This window comes from Homo sapiens, chromosome 3 (assembly GCF_000001405.40).
Source record: "Homo sapiens chromosome 3, GRCh38.p14 Primary Assembly".
In the NCBI taxonomy this organism is placed as follows: Eukaryota; Metazoa; Chordata; class Mammalia; order Primates; family Hominidae; genus Homo; species Homo sapiens.
Genome location: NC_000003.12, coordinates 193756333 through 193769026, shown reverse-complemented (window position 1 = coordinate 193769026; position 12694 = coordinate 193756333).

Genomic DNA, 12694 nt, shown 5'->3' with positions numbered 1-12694 from the left:
TGTAATCCCAGCACTTTGGGAGGCCGAGGCGGGTGGATCACGAGGTCGGGAGATCGAGACCATCCTGGCTAACATGGTGAAACCCCGTGTCTACTAAAAAAATACAAAAAATTAGCTGGGCGTGGTGGCGGGCGCCTGTAGTCCCAGCTACTCAGGAGGCTGAGGCAGGAGAATGGCGTGAACCTGGGAGGCAGAGCTTGCAGTGAGCCAAGACTGTGCCACTGCACTCCAGCCTGTGTGACAGAGCAAGACTCTGTCTCCAAAAAAAAAAAAAAGAAAAAGATTACTCACTCAGTATTGTGAAGACAGCACCAAGCCGTGAGGGATCCACCCCTAGGATCAAAACACCTCCCACCAGGCCCCACCTCCAGCACTGGGGATTACAATTTATCGTGAGGTTTGGATGGGGACAAATATCTGAACTCTATCACTAGGCTAGAACTTGGAGCTCATCAACCTCATTTTGCAGATAGAAAAACTGAGGTCCAGAGGGGGTTATGCTTTGCCCAAGTTCATGCAGTTGGTGGGACTAGAAAGGAACCAGGTGTGCGGGCTGCACCAGATTATGTTTTGTTTTTTGGATTAACTCCACGGTCTTCACCATGGGCTGTATTAGATCCCTGTGCCGTACTTTTCACACCCGGGCTTCTGCTTCAAGTCACAGCCTATCTCAGCTTACTGAGATTTTTAAAATCCATTTTTGCTCCTTGTAACATCCTGCTGACCTAGCCAGAGAACTGTGAAGGTCAAATGAATAATGGATGAGAATGTGATTTGTAAGGTGATAGCTGATGTGTACTTGTGAATCACTATTACTCCAGCTCTCCCTTGGGCCCCGATCACAAGATTCAATAGCAGCCTCTCCCCATACAGCTGATGATGCTGACTCAACTCTACAGCCCCCAGGAGCCAGAAACAAAGATAAGTTGCATCTGAGGGGAGTCCCAGGCTTCTCCATGTGGGCAATTGGAAGCCAGAAGCATTTCAGTGCAGCCAAAAGAGAGAGAAAAAAAGAGCACTTATTTTTGCTTGTTTTCTTCTCAATTATCAAGTAATAGCTACCACAGTAATCCCCCCTGCATCCCCTGGGGGCTGTGGAATGGGCAAGGGAGGCTCAAGGATGGGTAAGGGCTGGGATGTCTATTGCAGATTGTCTGCTTTTTGAGGATATTTTGACATAGTGACATGAGAGCAGCTGGGTCCAAATGGCTGGTTCACAGCTCACAGCTCAGCTCACAGCTCACAGCTCATGGCACTTTCTTTTTTGACAGGATCTTACTCTGTTGACCATGCTGGAGTGCAGTGGTGTGGTCTTGGCTCACTGCAGCCTCAACCTCCTGGGCTCAAGTGATCCTCCCACTTCAGCCTCCTGAGTAGCTGGGACCATAGGCGTGCACTGTCATGCCTGCTAATTTTAAGAAATTTGTTTGTAGAGACAGGGTCCTGCTATGTTGTCCAGGCTGCTTGAAGCTTTGTTCTGAGAGCAGGCAGTGGCCCAGGGCCCAGAGGACAAGCCAGTTCATCTCTCTAAGCCCCTGGCTTGCTGGGCTTCCAGGCACTAAGTTATATCTCTTATACACAGGACACACTGAGGTGGCTAGAATAAGTCAGGAGATGCATGCAGCTACTAGAATAAGAAATGACAAAAAGTGTTAAGAGGAAAGGCCAACTAAGTGAGAAGTTTCTGAACTGAGGCCTGTGTCTGTCCCTTGACCAGACACTCACGGAACCTTGGAAGCTCTCCTTTCTGGGCCTCTAAAGATGGAGATAATAATCCCAGCTCTGCCATACTCCCAGAGCTGCTGTGAAATAAGTGGGAGAGGTGATATCTGGAATCATTAGATGAGAAGAGAGTTTCATTTTCTTTCTAACAAGCATTTGCTGCATTTTTTCTGTGTGCCAGGTACTGTGAGGACTTAGAGGACACAGAGATAAGTGAGACAACCCCCCTGTCCAGGAAGAGCTGTCAGCGTAAGAAATGCCAAGCACAGGTGGTATGGGCTGCAGCAGAGGCACAGCCCACGTGCTCTTGGGTCTAGGAGTTTACCTACAGAGGGGGACTCTTTGGAGCTCAGGCATGAGTGTATTATTTCACACCTACAGATGGAGCACTTAGAAAAAGCAGTTCAGTGGGACCGGAGGAGTCAGGGAAGGCCTCGGGGTTGGGGGGAGACGGGAGGTGGCTATTCCATTTGCAGTACTGATTTTATGACCACTCCAAAAATCGTTACTCATTCGATCCTTAAAAAAGTAGATTCTGTGATTATCTTCATTCTACCAATAAGGACACTGAGGCACACAGAAGTTAAGATACCTGCCCACCCCGAGTGAGCCAGCAAATGGCAGGGTTGGGATTCCAACCCGGGCAGCCTGGCTCTAAATCAGCCATAAAAAAGGGAAGCGGGTATAATTAGAAGAATCATGGGGCGCTAGAGATGGTATCCTATAAGGAAAAGAGATTTTGCTGTTTTTGTTTCATTGTGTTGGTGTTTTTCATTAGTTTTTATTGTAAGATTAAATTAATAGCTTTAAAATCAGTTACCAACACTGAAGTTGTGGGCCCACTTGTGCTCAGCCTGAAAACTGCCAGTTCTGTCCTGGGGTTCACTGAGATGGGCCAGTCCGAGGCCAGGGTGTATGCCAGCAGCCTTCTGAGTTCTGGAGGCCTCAGTGTTCCCCCTTCTTCCTCAGCTGGGCTGTCATCTACTCTCCCTCCATCCCACCTCTCTTGGCTTCATCATCTCTAAAACACTGAATTCTGCATCAGCTCAGAACACCTGGGTCTAGGAGCTAACTTACAGAGGGGAGCTTTGTGGGGCACAGGCATGGGTTTTATGCCTTTTTCCCCTAAGGTAGGTTATTTATTTAAGCGCTCCCAAGCAAAGGAGTGGAAGTTCAGTACCCCGGTTGTCATTTGATATGAGTACAGAGGTGAGCTGAAGGTCACTTTTCTGCTCCACATGCAGAGTAATGATTGAAGCCAGTGTGCTGGGCTCATGCCTGGGTAGTTGTCCAGGTTCTCTTTATTCATCTTCATAGCTGGCTGGAAGCAGATTAACTGAGGGTTATTGACTAGAGCATGGTCACCGTCTCCCCAGGGAAAGGGCTTGGACCCTTGGTGGGGCTGAGGTAGGCGATAACCTGGGGTCCCATGTACACACGTCATGTGGCTTCAGCAAGGTGTCCAGCTCACTCCCACCCCAGGGGGCACGATGAAGTAAAGGGTCTTCCATATGTCCCCTGAGCCCTCCTCACTGTGGCTGCCCCTCAACCTGGGCTGCCCCAGCTGTGGCCTGGACTCAGCCAGCAGCCCAGGAGCTGGGACCTAGCCACGGGCCACTGCCATCTTCCACCTGGCCCACCACCACTTTTACCCTTTTGCAAGTCCAGAATCCAGAGTTGCGCCAGACACCCAGAAGGTGTTTGTCGGTTCGTCGGCTACCATCATCTGCACAGTCAAGGGACACAGGATCTTCTCCTGCATCATAGCCCAGTTTCAAAACACGCTCCTACTGGTAAGCCCACTGATCCCAAGAAATCAGCAAGAGGGGAGTGTTACAAACCAGGCAGCTATAAAACCAGGTCTCTCCTTTACTTGTTTCTGCCTTAGCCTCTTAAGACATTTGGAGGGAATGAAGAAGAAAATAATAAACAAAGAACAAAGACGAGAAGACTCCACTCTAAAGTTTGAAATGGGAACAGAAGGTCAGATTTGAGATAGCCGGGGCAACCAGTCATGTGTTTCTTCACAAAACCTCCCTCCCTTGTGGGCAAATGGGACTTCAAGGCCACCAGGAGACAGAGACAGGGGAGCTATTCAGGGCTGCAAGACCTGTTATCCTATCCTTGCTCTTGAATGACACCCTCTTCTGCCTCACAAGAGAGCCCTGGGGCCCAGCTTTCCACATGGGCCCGGCCCGCCCATGCCCCTCCCTGCCAAAGCTCTGATCTCCTGCCCAGATTTTGCACACATGCTCCCCAGGATGACATCGTGAAGGCAATCCATCTACTGTGACCTTACCGAAAGCCTTGCCTTCTGCTTGGCAGATGTGATCTTTTCAATTCTCTCTCCAGAAGTCTCTGAAATGGGCTGAGGGGCTGAAGAGGAGGCTAAAGCACCTCCCAAGCTTTGGCTTTTGGGCTGGCAGGAGTTAAAGTTGCAGTCAAGGAACTGTGACTTCTCACACTGATCCTGAGGCTTACAGGACAACTAGGAACGCATCAAGGCACAGCTCAAATGCCATCTTCTCCATGAAGCTACTTCCAATCACCCAACACCACCAGCAGGACAGAACACCTCTATTCCTCCTCTGTGCCCCACTGCCCGTTGAACTCTCACTACAGCACTTGTAAGTCTGCTTTGTATTCAAATTAGATGGCTACTTCTATGACTCCCTTAACAACTTGAGTTCCTCGAGGAACTGGTGGCATTGGGCTCAGAGAAGACTCTCAATAAACATTTAATGATAGATTTAATAAAAGAACAGATGAAGCAAATGTCACATTTCACTTACCTCTTGTACACCTACATAGGGAATGCCTTTTGACCATGCAACAAATATTTATTGAGTCCTACTATAAGCTGGACATGGTTCTTTGTTACAGAAGAAAACGAGGCAAACAAAAATGCATATCCTCATGGAATGTATGGTTTAGAGGAGAAAAACAATGTGAAGGGAGAAGACAACTAGGTAAAATAGGTAGACTGATAGCAAAAACTGGAAGAGAAACAAGGCACAGAGAAACATAAAGCAGAAAATGAGGCTAGAGCAAGATGAAGTGTGGAGACGATATGGAACCTACTTTTATCTATGGAGGTTGGGGAAATCTTTATAAGAAAGTAGCATTTGAGAAAACACTTGAGAGGTATGAGAGATGGAGCTATATGGTCATCTGAGAGAGGCGCCGTACAAAGGCCCCAAAGCAGGGACATGCCTCAGGTGCCCGTGTAGCTGGGACAGAGTAAATAGTGGCACGAGATGAAGGCAGAGAGATGACGGGGGCACAAGTCATGTAGGACCTGGTGGGTATTATTAGTAAAATAGAGAGTCACTGGAGAACTTTAGGAAGAGCGGCACGATTTGAGTTAGGTGTTAGCAGGATCATTCAGGCTGCTGCGTGGAAAACAGACTGCAGCGGGGCAGTGCAGAAAGCTGGGAGACCACTTAGAGGGGCCTGAGATAATCTAGACAAGCACCAACATTGAGTTGAGACGAGCTGACAATTGAATTTGCTGCTGACATTGAACGTGATATGTAAGAAAAATGGAGGAATTAAGGGAGACTGCAAAGTTTTTGGGCTGGACAACTAGAAGGAAGGAGTTGTCATGAACTGAGATGAAGAAGACTTCAAGAGAAACAGCTCATTTATCATGTTGGTTTTAAGACACCTATTAAATATTCCAGTACAGTAGCAGAGTAGACAACTGGGTATCCAAGTCTGAAGACAGAAAGAAGTCCGAGCTGGTATGGTAGGCCCAATAATGATCCCCCAAATATGTTCCCACCCTAACCCCCAGAACCCATGAGTGTTAATTTGGGAAAAGGGTTTGATTAAGTTAAGGACTTTGAGATTAGCCTGAATGATCCAGATGTGATCACCATGGCTCTTAGAAGGACACAAGAGGAATAAAAGAGGAAAAGATGGTGTGATGATGGAAGCAGGGGTTAGAGTAATAATAGCCACAGGCCAACGAATGCTGGCAGCCTCTAGAAGTTAGAAGAGGCAACGAATGGGTTCTCCCCAGGAGCCTTCAGAAGAAACCAGCTCTGCTGGCACATTGATTTTTAGCCCCGTAAGACTTCTGATCTCCAGAATTATGAGAGACTAAATCTGTGTTGTTTTAAGCTACTAAATCCACTAAGCCAGTAATTTGTTATAGCAGCCAAAGAAAAATGAAGATATAAACCTAGGGGCATATTCTAATAAGAATAATGGTCTCCCTTGACTGGGGCAGTGAAAATTAAAAAAAAAAAAAAAAGAATAATGAGATCTCCCAGGGACCAGTACAGAGAGAGAAGAGAGGTGAGCACAGAGGACTGGAGCAGCTGGAGTGATGAGGAGGAAGGCTCACAAGAGACCAAGAAGTGTGAACTGCCCACTAGGAGGAAATCAGGAGAGTGTGGTGCCTGGGAAGCAAAGTGAAAAGAACTTCAAGAAGAGGAAGTGATTTGTTAGGTGAGGTGCCACTGATAGTCAAGACAAATGAGAGGTGAGCACTGACCATGGGATGGAGCCCCTCAATGGCCTTGATGAAAGCAGTTTGGGCAGAGAGGTGGGGGATTGGGGGAAATTCTCACAGCAGGACCCAGAGAGAGTTGGAGAAGTGAAATTTGGTGATGGCATGAGAAGGCAAATCTCTCAGCCGGATGTGGTGGCTCATGCCTGTAATTCTAGCACTTTGGGAGGCCAAGGCAGGCGGAATGCTTGAGCTCAGGTGTTTGAGATCAGCCTGGGCAACATGGTGAAACCCCCTCTCTACTAAAATACAATAAAAATTAGCCGGGTATGGTGGTGTGTACCTGTAGTCCCAGCTACTCGGGAGGCTGAGGCAGGAGAATGGCTTGAACCCGGGAGGCAGAGGTTGCAGTGAGCCGAGATTGGGCCACTGCAGTCCAGCCTGGGCAACAGAGGGAGACTCCGTCTCTGAAAAAAAAAAAAAAAAAAAGGCAAATCAAACCTCTCAACGTGTTTGGCAGTACAGGGAAAATGAGAAATAAGAGGACAATCGAAGGGACACTTGGGATATTGTTTATGGTTTCTATTTAGGCTGTTGACAATGATGTAATAGAGAAGGGGAAATTGAGGATGCAAGATAAGGAAATGACTGGAATAATGTCCTCAGAGAGAGGGAGGGGGGCATAGGATCCAGTTATTCCAGTGCAGGCTGCCTAGACTCTGAGGGCCTCCCCTCCCTCTGGGTTCCTGCTCCACATCCTCCCTGGGCTGAGGAAGCATCCCATTTTCCTCACTCCTGAAGGGATCTCCCAATTTCTTGTGATTCCGCAGCAGCTTGTCGGCAGCCCAGTGAGCTTGCAGGTCAGCAGTGCTTCATCCGGGAGCAGGCAGAGTCCTAGGAAGGCCACTTTGCAGCCAAGGCCAGGTGTTCCCTCTGCCCAACTCTGAGAATGCTTGACCGGAGAAGACCCTGAGAATATCCTACAACAACTCCATCACATTATATGTTCTGAGAGTTAGTACACTTTGAAAAGCCCAACTCTAACTAGGACTGACATTTCAAAATCATGCAAAAACATATTTTTATAGTCATATATGAACAAAAGGGCTTATTCCACTTTCCCCTCAACTTTTAATGACATCAAGTTGTTAATTTCCAGGTTCCTTAATTATACCCAGAATATTTTCCCTTGCCTTCTGAAAACTCCCTTATGTCAATTGTACCCAGCATTCTTCATTGCCTCCAACCCCACATTAGCAGACATCTCATGAAGATGTGAGACAGCTACTGGATTCCTCTGTAAGAACAGACAGTGAAGACCCACATGTTCTTCTGTATTTATGATAGTATACACTGTATATTTTCAGTTATGCATATTCAATACCTCTGCGCCAGGTATTTATTTATTTATTTATTTATTTATTTATTTATTTATTTGAGACGGAGTTTCGCTCTCGCCCAGGCTGGAGTGCAGTGGCGGGATCTCGGCTCACTCACTGCAAGCTCCGCCTCCCGGGTTCACGCCATTCTCCTGCCTCAGCCTCCCGAGTAGCTGGGACTACAGGCGCCCGCCATCACGCCCAGCTAATTTTTTGTATTTTTAGTAGAGATGGGGTTTCACCGTGTTAGCCAGGATGGTCTCGATCTCCTGACCTCGTGATCCGCCTGCCTCGGCCTCCCAGAGTGCTGGGATTACAGGTGTGAGCCACCGCGCCCGGCCTGCGCCAGGTCTTCTTATATAAAAAGTCACATATATTCGAACAGGAATGGCTGACAATTTTGTGATGGTCACAATTAATGACCAGTTTCATCAGGGTTCCATTTGCCATAGCTGAATCTGCTTATGTTTGTAAGAATCATTCTTAAATAATTTATACGATTTGAAAGAACTTTATACAGAACTATCCTTGATAGAGTATTTGAACTGGTTACAGTTTATCCCCCTAAACATTGTTTTTAAACTTTATATTTTTGTCTTCAACCTCAACTCTCATCCTAGGATACAAACAATAGTTGTGAATAGTTTGTTTCCGTCTTTATTTTTTTAACTTGTAAATTAATCTCCATCAGGAGAGAGAGCTGGGTAGCCTCGCAGCAGATCAGAGGAGAAGCTAGACGTGGAACCCTGATGATAGCCTAAACCCCACTGGAGGGGTCTTCTGGAATCCTGATAGCCTAAACCCCACTGGAGGGGTCTTCTGGAATCCTGATAGCCTAAACCCCACTGGAGGGGTCTTCTGGGGAAGCTGATGCTCATCTGCCCTGTGGTAGGAAATGGCCTTTGGGATGGCAGCAGCTTTGTAGATTTCTCCAGGATGTCCACATCAACCGACTTTTCAGACTGTTTATTTCCGATGCACATGTAGGCGTTCGTATGTGTATTTCTTCAGAAATAGGGATCTTTTCTGTTTCTGAGAACATACAGAGAAACAGATTCTACAAATCTATACAGTAGCAGTATACGTTTCCTCCAACCGTGCTCCTGGTTTAGAACAACATGTAAGTACAATGGAATGGCAGAGATTCTATCCTTTATCTATTCCAGCCTCTAATTTTATGAATGCTGAAACTAAGAGGCAGAGAAAGAAAGGACTTCCCCTTGTTGACACAATAGTCAGAAACAGGCTGTGCCCAGGCCTCTAAATTCCTGAGCTAGTGCTTGCTCCTTGCTACCATACTCTGCAGTACAGTCTTTTCTGATTCCAAACTGTCATTGGACTTTTGACCAAGGTGTCATTTCTCTGGAAATGTCAAACTTACTTAGGAGTGTGTTGCCAAAACAGAAAGGCATCTTTTCAGACTTTGTCCTGTCACACTGGATTAGAAAATGTCATGCTCTTTCTTTAAGGTGATCCAAGATAAAATCCAGCCTGGATGGATGGAAAGGTAAAGGGGAGGGAAACAAATAAACAATACAGCCTGAACTAGAAGGTTGAGGTCCTGGAAATTAGTCCTCATGATGTCTTTTACCATTATGTGATCTAGGGGTCATTCTGTCCCACCTTGGTCTCTAGACTAAGCTTCCACACACATAAGATGAGAAGTTTTCACCAAATGGTCCTTAGTGTTCTGTGTCCAGGGCTCCTTCAGTCAAAGAGTACCCTTGGCTGGGCGCGGTGGCTCATGCCTATAATCCCAGCACTTTGGGAGGACAAGGCAGGCGGATCACGAGGTCGGGAAATCGAGACCATCTTGGCTAACACAGTGAAACCCCGTCTCTACTAAAAATATAAAAATTAGCTGGGCATAGTGGTAGGCACCTGTAGTCCCAGCTACTCAGGAGGCTGAGGCAGGAGAATGGTGGGTGAACCCAGGAGGTAGAGCTTGCAGTGAGCTGAGATTGTGCCACTACACAGAGCGAGACTCTGTCTCTAAAAAAAAAAAAATAGAGTACCCTGCCTTTGTTGGTGTTTTCATTTGCCACCATAACCAAGAGAAGACAAGATGTCATCTGGGCCACATGTAGAGCCTTTAGTGTCCTGGGAGTCATTAAAATCCATGCATGCTGAGCCCTCTCATAGACAGCAGGAAGTTCTTTCCTAGTATGTGCTGCTGTTGGGAGAGAAATTATAGGATACAAACTGGGGAGTCCAAATCTAGTGTGTCACAAAAGCCTGGTTTGACCATAGCTGCCAGATACGGTTTGGCTCTGTGTCCCCACCCAAATCTCATCTGGAATTGTAATCCCCATGTTAAGGGAGGGACCTGGTGGGCAAAATCTGATGCTTTAAAAGTGTTTGACAGGCCGGGCACGGTGGCTCATGCCTGTAATCCCAGCACTTTGGAAGGCCAAGGCAGGCAGATCATGAAGTCAAGAGATCAAGACCATCCTGGCCAACATGGTGAAACCCCGTCTCTACTAAAAACACAAAAAATTATTATTGTTAGCTGGGCGTGGTGGCGTGTGCCTCTAGTCCCAGCTACTTGGGAGCCTGAGGCAGGAGAATCGCTTGGACCTGGGAGGCAGATGTTGCAGTGGGCTGAGATCGGGCTACTGCACTCCAACCTGGCGACAGAGCGAGACTCCATCTTAAAAAAAAAACGTGTTTGACGGTTCCCCCCTTTCTCTCTTTCTCTCTCTCTTGCCACCTTGTAAAGAAGGTGCCTGGTTCTCCTTTACCTTCCACCATGTTTGTAAGCTTCCTGAGGCCTCCCATCCATGCAGAACTGTGAGTCAATTAAACCTCTTTTCTTCATAAATTACCCAGTCTCAGGTAGTATCGCTATAGCCATGTGAAAACGGACTAATACACTGCCCCTACAGAATGGGCAGATGCTCTCATGGCCAGTTCTCAGTAACAGCAACATCTTGTGATCAATTCTTCAGTTTCCTATTGAAAGTTGCTCCTCACAGGCATCTCTGGCTAAGAGGTCTTTGTGCCTTGAAGAATAAAAACCATGGGTATTTAGGAGCTAATTTATTTCTCTTTTAATCTTTAAGGCCTTCTGTTTTCATCTATTTTAGTCTAATACCAAAAGGATCTGCTTATTTGTGGATTCATTCATTTAATCATTCATTCAACAAATTATTCTTGGCTCCTCCTATTTATCAGTCACTATGCTAGACTGGGGCTTCACACAAGGTTTTTGCCCTCACAGAGCTTATAATCTACTGGGAGAGGCTAAAAATGAGCAATACATATATGTGTAATTACAAATAATTTTAAGAGCTCTGAAGTAAAAGAAGAGGGAGCTGAAGGCAAGAATAACACATGAGACTAATTTACACTGGGCAGTGACAAAGTGACAACTTATGCTAAGATAGGTTTTTGCAAGTACATTCAGTGCTTACAGGTTTCACATGGAGCCCAATTTTCTGTTAACCTAGAAAGAGAGATTCAGCAGAAGGTGATGAGTATAGTGGAAAACAGTGGTTCCATGCAGTCCAACACCACGTTTATTTCCTGGGTGTAAGAGAGAAAATTAGTAGAATAAGTCTGCCCAATGCTGAACATCTCCCTTTTTGGGAGTTTGCAGTCAGAAAAGATTGTGTTTAGTAATAAAGCAACCATTTCTTTTTTTATAGTACATGTTGGCCAGTTTCTAGTTAATCCCTATAAACTTTCTCAGTTAAATCATTCAGTCAGCCAAGGTTGAGTGACACATGACTTCCTTGCTTTAAGCAAAGGGGTCTTGTTAAAGAATATTACAATGGTTTAAGAGAAATTGGATCCTACCACTCTGCATCATCAGGAAGACTAATCTTGCAAAGAATTAAAAACACATGGGGATTTCTGTGTCTGATCCTGACATAGTAACTGGTACATAACTTGCCTTCACTTAAAACAACTACAAATGGGGAAAAACACATGAGGCAAATGTTTTCAGACACGGAGCAATAGGCAATAGGGGAATGTGATTTGGGAGACAAGTGAACTATATGACGTGAGTTCCATGGTCACCCCAGTTTTTTTCCCAAGGAAATTCTCCTGCTGCAATAAAAAGAGCTAAGGAGGCAGAGATTGAAGCTTTGGGATATAGACATGGCTGAAATTTGTGGGGTGGGATATCAGAAAAGAAGATACTGCACAGAAAATCAGGCCACTGAAGTCTGCATGGGGATGGACTGTGGGTCTGTGGCTGAGAACTCAGCTGCCCATACACAAGGCCTAGCAAGGGTCACATGCTGCAGGACTGGGAGCTGAACAGAGAAACCAGAAGTCCTGCTTTGCTGAGAGACGTTGGACTTCTGTCCCAAGCAGAACATTTTGAAGATTCAGTTGAGATTCTAAAAAGGTTATGCCTTGAGATGAAGAACCATGCTGTATAGTAAGGGCCAGCTCTAAACCTAAGCTCAATACAAAAATAGATCCCTTCAACAATGCAGGGATTAGAGGGGAAATGGAATAAAAAAAAATACGCCCACTTTCACAAAGAAAAAGAAACAACTCTAACAGGACCAAAATTATATTCCAAACACTTAACTGCCTTCAAGAACAAAATTCAATGTCCTTTAAAAGAAGGTGACAAAATCTGGACTCCCTATATTATCCATGTCAGAGAACAAACAATAAAAAATTATCAGACATGAAGATATAGGAAAATGTGACCCAGTTAAATTCAAGAAAAAAAAAATCAATCAATAGAAATAGACCCTGAGATGCTCCAGGTGTTAGAATTAACAGACCAGACTTCAAATGTAAAAGTTATTAACACATTCAGTGATTTAAATAAAAATATAGGAAATCTCAGCAGAGAAATGGAAACAATAAAAAAGAACCAAACAGAATTACCAAAACCGCAAAGAAAAATGTGTAGAATTAAAAATTCTACTAGATGAGCTTAATAGCAGATTGCAGACTACATGAGAATGGGTTAATGAACTTGAAAATAGGCCTTTTGAGATTGTTCAACTTGAAACAGTTTAAAGAGATAAAAAAGATTAAACAGATTCTCCATGATGTGTAGGGAAATACCAGGCAGTCTGACATATGTGAAATTAAGGTGTCAGAGGGGAAGAGATGAGAAATGGAACAGAAAAAAAATATTTAAAGAAGTGATGGCTAGAAAATTTCC